Here is a 14,403-nt window from a genome sequence, read left to right on the forward strand (position 1 = left end):
TGTATTATTTAGCTATGTTATTAGGTGCATAAACATTTAGGATTGTTATGTCTGGTTGATGAACTGACCCTTATTGTGATGACATGACCCTGTTTATCTATGGTAATGTCATTTGCTCTAAAATGAACTTTTATATCAGAACGGCCTCTGGGGCCATCTGGAGTGCAGGGTGGGCTGTGCTCCTGGCCCTTCATTACAGGCAGACATTTGGAGCCAGGCCAAATGCAACAGCCAAGCACCATCCTGGTGAGAATGCTGGGGATGCTCTTTCCCTGCCTACAGCCTCATCTCCCTTCATGATGGGGCCTGTCTAGAACCACAAGGAAGCATTGAAAGTCGATCTGAGTAGGAGGGTGAGGTGGGCAAAAGCTGGCCAGGAAAGGGCTGGCCCCAGGATTTTAACACCCACTTTGGTGTTCTGGGCTCTACCCATAGCTCCTGGAAAAGTGGATCTTGTCGGAGAAAGAATGGGAGCGGGAAAAGGCCGTGAGCCTCCATCTCTATCTCATGTGGATTTATGTCCACAGCACTGCTGTCTGTGTGAGTCCAGGAGTCCCCAGCCCCCAGCCTGCTGCTCTGACATGCACAGAAAAATTCCTGTGTCTATCTGGAAGATGAGGGAACACTTATGAAATCAAGTTCTGTCCCCAGAGGGCCCCTTGGGAGAGGCTGCAGTGACCTAGTGCCCTGGGCTGGGTCAGGGAGGGAGAGGGTGGGATTGTGGTTGGCAGAGCTCCAGGCTTTGTGGGGCCTGTGGCTTCTGTAGCGGTGAGAGCCCTTTTTAAGAAAAAAGATACATAGTTATGAACCCCACATTGGCTAGGAAAATGAATATTTACTTTGAGAAAATCAAGTGCTGCAAAATCATAAATTTTGCAAAGCTTGACAAGTACCGCAACCCTTAAAATGTCTAGAACGACGTAGTGTTTTTACTGATTGACCATCTGACACAGCCTGATGAGACTTAATTGTCTACACTTTTTGGCTCCATGCTGTTTGACTGTCTTGTCCTCAGGATGGCTGTGGCAGGAGGATGATGGAGTCAGGGTCTGGGGCGCAGGGATGGGCGTCTGGTGCAGGGAGAGAAGTGGGCTGGGCAGGAGGACCCTGGTCCTGGGCACCTGGATGGAGGTGGGGATGAAGGCTCAGCAAAATGAGGCAGGGGCCAAGTCCAACACTCAGTAACATGTGAGGCCAGAGGCTGTGTGGAAGGCTTCACCTGGGCTCTCATGACATTCCCTGCAAGAGGAGGTGCCATCATCATCTCCACTGTGCAGACAGGAAACATGAGACTGAGAGGCAGAGTACCCTGCCTGGACTGCTCAGCTAGTGAGCAGGAAGCTCTGATTTGATCCCCAGGGTTCGTTACAGGAACAACTGGGCCCAAGTTCAGAGCTGTGAACTGAGCAGAGCTGAGTCAGAGGGAGTCCTGATCCAGGGCCCACAGATCCAGGCTGCTCAGCCTCCAGGGGCCCAGCTGTGGGCAGGGGAGGCTGATGCTTGGACAGGGGACAGACAGTGGCACCCTCCCCTTCCCCAAATGGGTGTTTCAGAGCAGGGTTTGCCCTATCAAGTTGTCCTTTACACTGCCCCTGGGCAGCCCCAGGTGTGCATGAGAGCACAGAGGTGTGAGCCCCACGGTCTCCTGTCCCTCAGATCCACCTAAAGCTGGGGCAGTTTGGCACAATGGTCGGACTCATTGCCCCGTGCACCTGTGATGCCCATCAAAGAACCCGCATGGCCTCAATGAATGTCCTGTCCAGCCTGCTAGATCTTCACGGTATGAGAGGGCAGGACATGAGGACCAGCTCCTCTGGGAGGGAGAGAGGGCTGACTCCAGGAGTATGGGCTGCGGCCTGCCCTGGAGGGAAGGATGGCCTCTGTGCAGGCAGGCATGGAGACAAACACAGGTGACCATCAGAGGGAGCAGTGAGGGGAGAGTTCACCAACAGGCCATGGAAGCTTCCAGAAGGAGAGGTTCATTAGCCCAGATTGACCCATGGAGGGCATGTGCTGGGCACTGAGGGCCTGGCTGGGAGAAAGTCAGCTCCCAGATGCCAAGCATGTGACAGAGCTGGCCAGAGCTGAGTTCAAGGGAGAGCAGGCCTCTGAGCTGGGCGGAGAGGTGGTGCGGGCAGAGGCCGCCACAGGGAAGGACCAGTGAGAGCAAAGGTCAGAACGCCTGGGACGTTCACATGCTGGAGGGTGGCTCAGGCCTGCAAAGCCAGGGCAGGAGGTAGCCACGAAGGGGGGGTGGCTGGGCCTTTTGTCCCTGCTGGTCATTTCTGAAGTTGTATTCCCGACAGCAAGCCAGACCTGCTCCTTGTGGGGCCCTTCCAAGCAGAAGGAGCTTGAGAAATGTAAGGGGGACCTCCAGAGCACAGATGTGGAGAAGATCTTCTGTGCATCCTCCAGAATCGCCAAGGTGACAGCCGGGGAGCCTGCCTGGGCTGCCAGGCTGGTCTCAGGGCCCTTGGCCGTCTCTCAGGGAGGGAGGCCTTCCTGGGCTGGCCTCACAGCCCAAGTTTTCTGGGGTCTCAGCTTCCACGGCCTTTGGCCCAACTGCTGCCCTCTGTGTTGAAAGGGCCTGCAGTATGTCATGTCCCTACTTTGTCTCTGGCACGCAGTAGGTGCTTAATCTGCTTTGCTGTCTTCTCCCTGTCCCTGTGATGTGCCACACTGAGTGCTGAAAGGGCCATGGGAATGATCTGGACAGGCCCTGCACGTGGTGTGGGCACGTGGGCAGGCTCATGGCACAGTGATGAATGGAAGTGCCTGGAGCCACCCAAACAGGGGCTGGGGACTTCAGGAGACCAGCCCCTTCTGGCTCAGCCCAGGAGGAGGCCATGGCCATGGTCTGAGAGAGGATAGGAGCCTGGAGTGGGGCCATGGGGTGGGACAGGGGAGGAGAGAGTGTCAGCAGTCATGGAGTGGCAGGGGAGGGCAGGGGAGTCACCCGCTCTGCTCCTAGGTGGTCTGCATGGAGTTTAGCTGCGATGAGGTGGTCTCGCTCATCCAGAAGCTCTGCGAGAACACTGGGGCCATGAACCTGCAGCATGACAAGGCCTCTGTCACCTGGATAGCCTTCTTCCTCCAGATGCGGGCCAAGGAGCTGGAGGACAAGGTGGCAGAGCCGCGGCAGGGCCACCAGAGAGAGGGGCTGGGGCTGCCTGGTGTGCCCAGATGAGAGGGAAGGACGAGGGCCTCACCAGCACTCGCTGAGAATGCCTCCCCCAACCCCTGGCTGCTAAAGAGGAGGAGGAAACAGAGTTCTAGAGCTAGAAAGAAGCGTGTTGAAGGTAGCCTCGTTAGTTAAGTGCACGCTGACCTGGAGATCAAGGTTCTCCTCCCCAGAGCACACCACCTCCTGCACTGAAAGCCTGGGAAAATGAGTTTGAGGCAGAGACCAGAGGATGCACTAGAGAGGGTGCTGGGCGCTTAACCTCCCCATTGTCCAACTGGGCCAGAGCCCTTAGAGCAGGGGCATGTCATGGGGTTAGTGCAGGAGGCCATAGGGGCCTGGGCTGCCCCCCGGTGATGCCCCATCCCTACCTAGGTGGCCGAGATCCTGAGTGCCATCCTGGTGCACCTGCCGGTGGTGGACCACCCAGAGGTGCGGCGCCTTCTCATTGACGGCATCCTGCTGCTGGCGCACCACCACCAGGAGACCATCCTCACATCGCTCCTGAGGCAGCCACTGCCCATGGAGAGGTGGGTGCCCTGGAGGAGGTGGCCCCGGCCTCCTGTGCCATTTGACCATGCCCAACTCACCACCCCGATGTGTCCCAGAAGCCTGGAGCCTTGGGCAGTACCCTGCCCCACCCTGAAGGAGGTCGAAGCCCTCTTCCTGTACCTCCTGCAGGAGGTGCCAGCCTCCGACGAGCCACTGACAGAGCCCAGGCTTGTAGAACTTCGCCACATGGAGCTGGAATCTGGACCCGTAGCTCCCCACATGCCCGGGACAGTGTCTGTGGAGTTCATTCTCTCCCAGAGTAGCCCTTTCCTTCCCTGTGAACAGAGCTCCAGCAGATGGGCTGCAGGGTGCGGCTCCAAGGCATGAGCAAGCCCTGGATATATTCCAGGCTGTCCCTATTTCTTTCAAAATGTGTCCTAAGAGGGGAAGCGACTTGTCCCAGTCTCCAAGGGGAGAATGGCCCAACCTCCAGCCCCAGAGGTGGCCATGAGTGATGCAGAGCCACCCCATCTTTATTGGTGTTTCTCTGCAGACAGTGCAGAGCTCCTGTGTGTGCTACAGCATGATGGCACAGGCAGCTGGGCATGGTCTCCCCACATGTGGGGAGTCTGTTTGGGGTGGTACCAGAATTCATCTGGGAGGAGCCAGAAAGAGCTAGACAGTCATCCCCAGAGCAGTGGAGCCTGTGCTGGTGCAGGGACGTGAGGAGATGTCAGGCTAAGTAAGAGGCTTGGAACAGAGAAAAGAGTTTTAAAAATAGGCCCCGGCTCCAGAGCCACAAGGGCTGACCTGCCCGAAATGCAGGCATGACTCCCCTGTGGAGCTGCTTCTCATAAGGGCAGCCCTGCCGTGGGTCCAGCTGGGAGGGTGGTGCAGGTGTCATGATTTAATGAGGCTCAGTGGCTCATGAGGCAGTGCTGGGTGGGGGTAAGGGGGATGTGCGGTGCAGCCCTGGGTCAGGCTGGCGTACTTGGTGGCCACGTCACACTGGCTTTCACTTAGTTTGCCAAAATCTGTATTGGTTTGCTATTGCTGAATAACAAATTATCACCCACTTAGAAGCTTCTAACAACATCCATGGATTAGCTCACAATTTCCATGGTTCAGGAGTCAAGGCATGGGTTAGCTGGGCTTTCTGTTCAGGGTCTCACAAGCCTGTGATGAGGGTGTCAGCTGGGCTGCATTCCAGAGCCTGGGGTTGTCTTCCAGGATTGTGTCATTGTTCGTAGTTGCTTCTTGCCATTGTAGGACTGAGGTGCCCCTTCTTGTTTCCTTGCGCCCCATGGCTTCTTTACAGAGGGTGCTGATGAGTGCACTCTGCCCCCTCTCCATTTACTCCTGCCCCCAGGCCCCCAGGCACATCTCCCTTCAGACCCAAACTCACCACCCTGCTCTTGTGCATTGGTTTTGTGGGTTCCAATAGTCAGTTTACACATCTCTTTGTTCAACTTGACCTTGTTAAATTACATTTAGACTTGTTAGACTCACATTAGCCTTTTAGAACCTCCCAGATGCCCCGCTCTCTGTGCCTCTGTACCTATCCTGGGGGACATCCCTTCTCAGCAGGGCCATGGGCTTGGACTTGGAAACCAGGAAGGCCCTTTTCCAACTGTAGTTTGGCAGGTGGCCTGACTGCTGCAAGCCTCACTTCCCTCTTCTGTGGAATAGGGAGACAAAATACCTTCCTCAAAGATGTGTTGGGAGGGTTAGGTGATATAATATCAGAAAGCTACCGACAACCAACCTGATGCAAATTGGGCACTAGGAGGTATTGTGGGACATGTCCGTACAGTCATCAAACAGGTGGGGGTCTCTGTGGTCATCTAGCAGTGGAGGTGGGGCTTCCGTGGGGGCCATGGCTTTCCCAAAGGTACCGTGAGCCCGTGCAGAGAAAGGGGGTTGAGTATAGTGTCAGGGGCCTGGGTTCTAAGCACGCAAATTTTGGCGGCTCCCTCCGCCTCCCTGAGATTCAGTCCCCAGAGTCCAACCCCTACTTAGGGGGCTGCCAAGGGTTTGAAAGGGATTCTTACCTGCCAGGGCACATGCCAGGAAACTCACAGTCCTTGTGCCCTGACTTTGGTTAGCCACCTGGCAGAGGTGTGGCTGGCAGTGTCGGAGAACGTGCCCTTCGCCCGGACCATGCTCCACAGCCTGATGGGCCGGCTGCAGTCACGGCTCAGCCCCAGAATCAGTGCCACCTCCAAGGCTGACATCTGGCGCCTGGCTGCGGTGGACCCCCTGATGGTGAGTTGCAGGCGCAGGCCCCAAGGCTCCTCAGGGGTCTCTGGGTAGGAGCCCGATGCCCTGGACCTTCTCTCTGCAGACCCTGTGCACCATCCACCTTCTCATTCAGAAGCTGGATGAGAATGACAAGCTCCCGGACTTCCTCCCTGACCTCATCTACACCCTCCTGCTGCAGCTTGGAAGCAGCCACCGACCAGAGGCCGCCCCGCCGGTCTTGAAGATGTGGAAGCTGGTCCACACCACTCCTCTGCCGGAGGAGATGAACCTGCAAAGGTGCTCTCGAGGGCGGTGGGTGCAAGGCAGCAGGCCTGGGCTGGCTGTAGCCACGGGCTGCCCCTTAGTTGCCAGTGGACTCCAGTGAGGGGCCCTCTGTCTCCTCCTGGTGGGATCTGATCTTACTCAAAATGCCGTTCTCATGTGTGTCAAGCACGGTGTGGTTTTCAGAGCTTGCAGATCCACTCCCTCCCTGGACCTTTCCCTCAGTCCCTTGGGCTGGGCCCGGCAGGCACTGGGGCCCCACTTCACAGATTGCAGCAGCCTCCCCAGGCCATGCGCTCCCAGCAGGGCAGCGCATCACAAGCTCCCACCTCCCTTCAGGGTCACTATCAAGTCCATGCAGCTCTTGTTCAAGAGAGTCAAGAGCCAGCACCTGGCACATACCCTGGACGAGCAGGCAGTGTGGGACCTCCTGCAGGACGGCGGGACATTCCTGGAGGGTGTGAGCCTGCTGGCCAGGTGGGCCCTGGCTCCCACAGGGTGGCAGGGGGACCTGCAGAGGCACCTCCTTGCTGGATGGAAGGGCTCCTTGTGAGGACATGGTCCAGTCATGGCTGAAGGCCTTCTTTCTGGGGGAACTGCCACGCCAACCTGTGACTCTAGGATGGCAGTGGTGTGCAAGAGAATGAGAACCTTTTATTCGAACCCTTCCTGCTCAGAGCAGATATGAGGGCAGAAAGAGGAGGGGCTCGCCCCCAGGGCCACACAGGGTCTAGAGTAGGCCAGGGATGGGAGTTACTTCTGGGGTCCTAGTCACTCCGGAGCCGCCCTCACTCTAGTCCCCTTTGTAAAAAGGAGATAGACATTGACTGATTCACTGACAACCTCAACCAAGTCCCCAGGAAGAGGAGGGAGAAACCCAGAGATGTTACGACATCTTTCCGGGGTTATCTTGCCACCAGGGTCCAGGCACCGATGTGGCCCTGCCCAGCTCTTGGCAAACGTCAGGCAGGGGTGGGGCCGCCTCCACGACCTGGCACTGTCTCTCCTCTGCAGGCTGTGCATGCAGCACGTGGAGGGCCACAGGCAGAGGCTGGCCGAGCTGGTGCTCAGGGGCATGGACTCAGAAGTCCTGAGCTGCCGCATCAGCAGCACAGCGGTCTGCGTGGAAATGAGGCACCGGGTGTGGGCGGGGTGCAAGCGGAGGGGATGGGGTCCCTGGATTCTTCTGGGGATGGCTTGTCTCCAAGGCATGGGAGTCGGGGGGACAGGCGAGCGCCCCTCCTCTGAGTGCTCATTCTCTCATCTGCTCCTTCATTCATTCATCACATGAGTAGTGCAGGGCAGGCCCTGCTGGAAAGACAGGCTGAGCCCTGCAGCATTGCAGTTAACTGATGTGTGACCCAGGCAAGTACAGTGACCCAGGGGACCCAGGGAGGGCACCTGGGTTCTCGCTGGGGCAGGCTTCCTGCAGGAGGACTCAGAGAGGCCGAGGGGCTTTGCTAGGTGGGAAGGCAGGGCCCAGCGACCCTATCTCAGAGTGAGTGTTGGAGCGTCCTGAGGGCAATGATGCCCAATGCACCCTAGGAACCAACCACAGCCCAGGCCAGAGGCCGGCCAGTGTTTTCTGTAAAGGACTGCAGAGTAAATTTTTGGCTTTGTGGCCAACTAAGCTGTAGCAGGAAAACAGCCACAGCCAATAAGTCAACCAGTGGGCATGACGGTGTCAACAAAACCTTATTGATGGACACTGGAATTTAAACTTCATGGAATTTTCATGTGCCATAGAATTTTCTTTTCTATATTTCTTTTCCCCAACACTTAAAAATGGGAAAATGAGTTTTGGCAGTGGGCTGTACAAAAGCTCCTGGAAGTACAAGACCAGTCTGGGAGGTACTCACCAAGCTTTTATAGGTTCTTCAGGCCCCTCCCTGTGTTCAGGCCTCTGTAAATCTTCAAAATGAGGATGGGAAGGAGAAGTGCTCCCTCGTTGTCTCACCCAGGACCTGTCCTTTGATGTGCCTGAGTTTGGAATTTTCAGCGGCTGGAAGCCACACAGGGCCAGGCGCAGGTGCTGGAATCCGAGGGCCTGGTTAAGAGCCTCCGCTCAGTTGCTGATTGGCTGGAGATGAAGTTACTTAGCGTCTCTGAGCTTCAAGCTCTCCATCTGCCCAACTGGGGAAAGCAGTGCCTTCTTTTCAGGGCTTTGGTGAGAGCTAAATGAGATAGACCGTGTATGCATTGCTTGCTTGGGAGGTAAGTGCTCATTAAATGCTAGCTAATTATGGCAGTTTAAAAATTAGGTTCAGCTTTTTTGGTTCCATATGAATTTTAAAATAATTTTTTTCTAATTCTGTGAAGAATGTCAATGGTAGTTTAATGGGAATAGCATTGAATCTATACATTACTTTGGGCAGTATGGTCATTTGCATGATACTGATTCTTCCTATCCATGAGCATGGAATATTTTTCCATTTGTTTGTGTACTCTCTGGTTTCTTTGAGCAGAGGTTTGTAGTTCTCCTTTGAAGAGGCCCCTCACTTCCCTTGTTAACTATATTCCTAGGTATTTTATTCTCTTTGTAGCAATTGTGAATGGGAGTTCATGATTTGGCTCTCTGCTTGCCTGTTGTTAGTGTGTAGGAATGCTTGTGACTTCTGCAGATTGATTTTGTATCCTGAGACTTTGTTGAAGTTGTTTATCAGCTTAAGAAGTTTTTGGGCTGAGACAATGGGGTTTTCTAGATATAGGATCATGTCATCTGCAAACAAAGACATTTTTACTTCCTCCCTTCCTATTTGAATACGCTTTATTTCTTTCTCTTGCCTGATTGCCCTGGCCGGAACTTCCAATACTATGTTGAGTAGGAGTGGTGAGAGAGGGCATCCTTGTCTTGTGCCGATTTTCAAAGGGAATGCTTCCGGCTTTTGCCCATTCAGTATGATATTGGTTGTGGGTTTGTCATAAATGGCTCTTATTATTTTGAGGTACTTCAATACCTAGTTTGTTGGGAGTTTTTAACATGAAGGGATGTTGAATTTTATTGAAGGCCTTTTCTGCACCTATTGAGATAATCATGTGGTTTTGTCTTTAGGTCTGTTTATGTGATGAATTACGTTTATTGATTTACATATGTTGAACTAGCCTTGCATCCTGGGAATGAAGGCTACTTGATCGTGGTGGATGAGCTTTTTGATATGCTGCTGGATTCAGTTTGCCAGTATTTTATTGAGAATTTTTGCATCGATGTTCATCAGGGATATTGGCCTGAAGTTTTCTTTTTTTTGTTGTATCTCTGCCTGGTTTTGGTATCAGGATGATGCTGACCTCATAGAATGAGTTAGGGAGGTGTCCTTCCTTTTCAATGGTTTGGAATAGTTTCAGAAGAAATGGTATAAACACCTCTTTGTGTTTCTTTTTCCTTTTTTTTTTTTTTTTTTTTTTGAGACAGGGTCTTGCTCTGTCGCCAGGCTGGAGTGCAATGGCGTGATCTCAGCTCACTGCAACCTCCACCTCCCGGGTTCAAGCAATTCTCCTGCCTCAGCCTTTCGAGTAGCTGGGACTGTAGGCATGTGCCACCACACCCAGCTAATTTTTGTATTTTTAGTAGAGATAGGGTTTCACCATGTTGGCCAGGATGGTCTCGATCTCTTGACCTTGTGATTTGCCCGCCTCGGCCTCCCAAAGTGCTGGGATTACAGGCGTGAGCCACCACGCCCGACCACCTCTTTGTATTTCTTGTAGAATTCAGCCTGTATAGCCAAGACAATTCTAAGCAAAAAGAACAAAGCTGGAGGCATCACCCTACTGGACTTCAAACTATACTATAAGGCTACAGTAACCAAAACAGCATGGTACTGGTACAAAAACAGATACACAGACCAATGGAACAGAATAGAGAACTCAGAAATAAGATGGCACATCTACAGGCAACTGATCTTGGACAAACCTGACAAAAACAAGCAATGGGGAAAGGATTCCATATTTAAAAAATAGTGCTGGGAGAACTGGCTATCCATTTGCAGAAAATTGAAACTGGACCCCTTTCTCACACATTATGCAAAAATTAACTCAAGATGGATTAAAGACTTAAATGTAAAACCCAAAACTATAAAAACCCTAGAAGAAAATCTAGGCAATACCATTCAGGACATGGGCATGGACAAACATTTCATGATAAAATCACCAACAGCAATTGCAACAAAAGCAAAAATTGACAATTGGGATCTAATTAAACTAAGGAGCTTCTGCACAGCAAAAGAGACTATCATCAGAGTGAACAGGCAACCTACAGAGTTGAAGAAAATCTTTGCAATTTATCCATTCAAAAAAGGTCTAATATCCAGAATCTACAAGGAACTCAAACAAATTTACAAGAAAAAAACAAACAATCCTATTAGAAAGTGGGCAAAGGACATGAACAGACCCTTCTCAAAGAAGACACTCATGCAGCGAATAAACATATGAAAAAAAGCTAAATATCACTGATCATTAGGTAAATGCAAATCAAAACCACAAGGAGATACCATATCATGCCAGTCAGAATGGCCATTATTAAAAAGTCAAGAAACAACAGATGCTGGCAAGGTTGCAGAGAAATAGGAACACTTTTACACTGTTGGTGGGAATGTAAATTAGTTCAACCATTGTGGAAGACGGTGTGGTGATTCCTCAAAGATCTAGAACCAAAAATACCATCTGACCCAGCAATCCCATTACTGGGCATATACCCAAAGGAATATAATCATTCTATTACAAAGATATATGCATGTGTATGTTCATTGTAGCACTATTCACAATAACAAAGACATGGAATCAACCCAAATGCCCATCAATGATACACTGGATAAAGAAAATGAGGTACATATACACCATGGAATACTATGCAGCCATAAAAAGGAATGAGATCATGTCCTTTGCAGGGACATGGATGAAGCTGGAAGTCATTATCCTCAGCAAACTAATACAGGAACAGAAACCAAACACCACATGTTCTCACTTATAAGTGGGAGCTGAACAATGAGATCACATGGACACAGGGAGAGGACCAACACACACTGGGCCTGTTGGGAGTGGGGTGGGGGAAGAGAGAGTATTAGGAAAAACAGCTAATGCATGCTGGGCTTAATAACTCGGTGATGGGTCGATAGGTGCAGCAAACCACTATGACACACGTCTACCTATGTAACAAGCTTGCACTTCCTGCACATGTACCCCAGAACTAAAAATAAAAATTAAAAAAAAAATTAGGTTCAGGTTTAAGAAGCAAGCTATTTAAATTCTTCAAATTTGATAGGGATGGATTATAAATGATTTTTTTTTAATGCTTGCTGACAATAGTGTGGGGGCTTTACTCTTCAGGAATTTTCCCTGAAGAGCATTTAAAATAGGTTGTGATCGTTGTATTCACTGCTCTACCTGGCCCTGAATAGGTGCTCAGTATATGTTTAAATGAATGGAAGTGCTGTAGGAAGCTCCTGTGATTGCTGATGTTGGTGTCTGGGACAGGCTGGAGGTGGACTGAGGTGGAGACAAAACATTTGGAAGCTTAGAGCAACTGCGCCTAATGGGGGTTTAAGGAACTAGATGTGGGGATAGTCAATAGATGCTCATTTCTCCTGTCCCTGGACTCACCAATTTGGTGTTTAGTTTTCAGGCCTCTTTCAAACATACTCAGGTACTTGCATGCACACATGTACACACATGTACACACATGCATGCACCCACACGCATACCAGTGAGGTTTTGGCACTCAGAATACTAGGCCATTAGTAATTCTCCTGAAAGTGAAATTCATGTTTTTTGTGCCTTTCTGTTCAGATGCAGGTGGGCGTGGCTCTTGCATTTGGCAGTGGCTGTTATGTTACCTGAAAAAATAAATGACGAATTTATATATATACGTAACACTTATCTAGCATTCCCCCCATATTTCCTTATTAAATCCCCACACAGACCCTGAGGCAGGTACTAGCATCACCCGCTTTTTATAGAGAGGAAACGGAGGCTCTCAGAGCCCCTCCCCTCCTGTCCACAGAGCCACCAATCTGCATTACCTCTCCTCCCACGTCCCACCTTGCTGCTGAGAAATGAGCCCGCCCTGGGGATAACTGCCCAATGTCCTCCCTTCCAGTTCATGAGCGGCCCAGTTCTGTACCAGGAGAAGCTGCTGAAGCCGGCAGCTTTGCTGCTGGAGAAGGGTGCCGACCAGGAGGAAGACGAGGCCCTGCGGGTGCTGTCCCTGCGCGCCCTCGGCAACATGGCCCTGGGCGCCCCCAAGAAGGTACTGTGCCTGGCCCTGGGCCCAGGTCCCGGGAGCTGAGGGTGCAGGCCGGGTGCCCTGGTCAGCCTGGGAGGGAGGGTGCAGGCTGAGGGCTGCCCATGCCCCTCCAGGTGAAGCAGTACCGGAAGGTCTTGCTGGAGAAGTGCCTGGGCCCCCTGAGGGAGCCCGTGAGCAACAGCGTGACTGCCGAGGGCATGGAGGCCCTGACCAAGATCCTGGCTGAGCTCCGGGAAGGGGATGTGGGGTCCTCTTTCGACGCCATGTCTGAGCAGTGCAGGATCTTCTTCGACAACGTGAGTCCGATGAGAGCCTCCCTGAGCTTGCTCAGTGAAGGAGGGGCACTTCTCAGACCCTAAGGAAGAGATGGGCTCTAGAGCAGAAAAGAGCCGAGGCTCCTGCTGGGTGTCAGTTTAGCGACTGGCTGATCACGGGATCTTGTGAAGTAAAAGGTATTCTTCTAAGTTCCAGAGAATCAGTGCTGTCAAGTGACGGCTCCTGGGCCTCTGCAGCCCTGCTAGGAGGGAAGGGTCTCCCCCTTTTATTCCTTGCAGCTACAAATACCCCCAGGGCACCTGTGTCACCCTGGGCCTCTGCTAGGCAGGGCTGTGCACTCAGATCCTGCACAAGCCCTCACCCAGGGAAGAGGCGGGCACAAAGACCAGAGCAATGCCCAGCCCCTTGAGGGCTACGTGATCCCTGCCAAAGGAGAGACTACACCCTGACGGAATGATCCAGAAGGCTCTGCAGGGACCAAGGCATTGGGTATTCCTTGGAGAATGGCTGGGGTTTTGCTGGGCTTCCTGCTGCCTGCATGTCAGCCTGTGTCCATCCTGGCCACAGGAGAGCGAGCTGCTGCGTCTGAAAGCCTTCATCCTCTTTGGAAAGCTGGCAAGGGTGGTCGGGATGTCCAAGAAGCATTTCTTCAAAGGGGAGGTGAAGAAGGCCTGGATCCCCCTCATGCTGCACTCCCAGGACCCCTGCTCCAATGCAGCCCAAGTAAGATACATCCTGGGCTTTGTGTCCCAGTCTGGGGCCCGCTGTTCCCCGAGGAAACAGGTCCTTGGGTCTGCTGGCTCGGTGAGCTGCAAGCTTTTCTCTGCCTCAGTTGGTTTTCTCTGAGATCCCAGAGGCCACAGCCTGCTCCCTGCTGTCCTCCATCCCTCACACAGGCTGAGGAGAGAGGCCATCCGAGATGACCTGCAAAGCCACCTCACTAAGCAGTCTCAGCCCCGTGTCGGGGGACATGGTGTGGTGGCTGCCTATAGCCCTCCTCTGCCCAAACCCTTTCTTCTAGCAGATTCTGTAACTGGCAGGTCACTTTTGAGTATTAGGACTCAAAATACCCCAAAGTGGTCTTGTCCACTGCCTGCAGGCCCATGTTGGGATGGGAGCGGGCCTGGCTTCTCCCTCTCCACAGCCCAGCTCCTCTGTTGCTTTGGGGCAGGAGGAGAGGGAGAGACAGATTTGTTAGTAAATGTGCCTTCTCATTTGAGTTGCTGCCTCTCAGGCTAACCCCGGCTGGCTGGGGACCTCAGGATCCTCACTCCCTGCATGGCCCATGACCTTGACCGCCCTCTTCTCTCCCTAGTCTCTGCTTACAGACTTGGGGGGTGGGGTCAGGAAGTGGGGAGGTGGCTGATTTGGGGAGGTTCTGCCCCCGCCTAGTAAGCCTTGGGACGCAGCTGGCCTAACATGAAAGAAATGCAATGGTCATTTTCAGCAGGTGCCTTGGACTCCAGCTCTGGGGTCACAGGACAAGTACTGTCACTATGAGGGCAGCAGTTTCCAGGTGGGGTGGAGCGGGTGGCCCAGATGGCCTGGGTGGCCCAGGTGGGATGGCCCAGGTGGCCCAGGTGGGATGGCCCTGGTGGCCCAGGTGGGATGGCCCAGGTGGCCCTTACAGGCAGTGAGGGGGATTGAGATGCACACTCCCTAGACCTGGGCTTTGCACTCACCACCCCAGCTTCTG

The 14,403-nt window shown here is 52.8% G+C and overlaps 1 protein-coding gene across 15 annotated transcripts in view, besides 1 other annotated feature; it reads left to right on the forward strand.

The window, feature by feature from the left end:
- MROH2A (maestro heat like repeat family member 2A) overlaps positions 1-14,403 on the forward strand; it is a 57,695-nt gene that overhangs the window by 40,622 nt on the left and 2,670 nt on the right. For 10 of the 15 annotated variants that reach the window (XM_024452842.2, NM_001367507.1, XM_011511076.3 and 7 more), the window contains 12 exons: positions 436-540; positions 1,657-1,780; positions 2,307-2,425; positions 2,972-3,124; positions 3,557-3,711; positions 5,779-5,938; positions 6,018-6,211; positions 6,536-6,673; positions 7,211-7,325; positions 12,285-12,434; positions 12,545-12,727; positions 13,275-13,430. In XM_024452842.2, coding sequence (XP_024308610.1) covers positions 436-540; positions 1,657-1,780; positions 2,307-2,425; positions 2,972-3,124; positions 3,557-3,711; positions 5,779-5,938; positions 6,018-6,211; positions 6,536-6,673; positions 7,211-7,325; positions 12,285-12,434; positions 12,545-12,727; positions 13,275-13,430 — 1,752 coding nt within the window. The remainder of the gene's footprint in view (positions 1-435; positions 541-1,656; positions 1,781-2,306; positions 2,426-2,971; positions 3,125-3,556; positions 3,712-5,778; positions 5,939-6,017; positions 6,212-6,535; positions 6,674-7,210; positions 7,326-12,284; positions 12,435-12,544; positions 12,728-13,274; positions 13,431-14,403) is intronic. The other 5 variants (XM_024452839.2, NM_001394639.1, XM_024452844.2 and 2 more) reach the window with 5 other exon arrangements.
- Positions 6,486-6,986: an enhancer, noted in NCBI's record as "H3K4me1 hESC enhancer chr2:234731477-234731977 (GRCh37/hg19 assembly coordinates)". NCBI's record gives its function as "activates a minimal SCP1, AML or CMV promoter by ChIP-STARR-seq in primed H9 embryonic stem cells {active_cell/tissue: H9 hESC(primed)}" and the evidence as "EXISTENCE:reporter gene assay evidence [ECO:0000049][PMID:30033119]".

Source organism: Homo sapiens, chromosome 2 (genome assembly GCF_000001405.40).
Source record: "Homo sapiens chromosome 2, GRCh38.p14 Primary Assembly".
Lineage (NCBI taxonomy): Eukaryota > Metazoa > Chordata > Mammalia > Primates > Hominidae > Homo > Homo sapiens.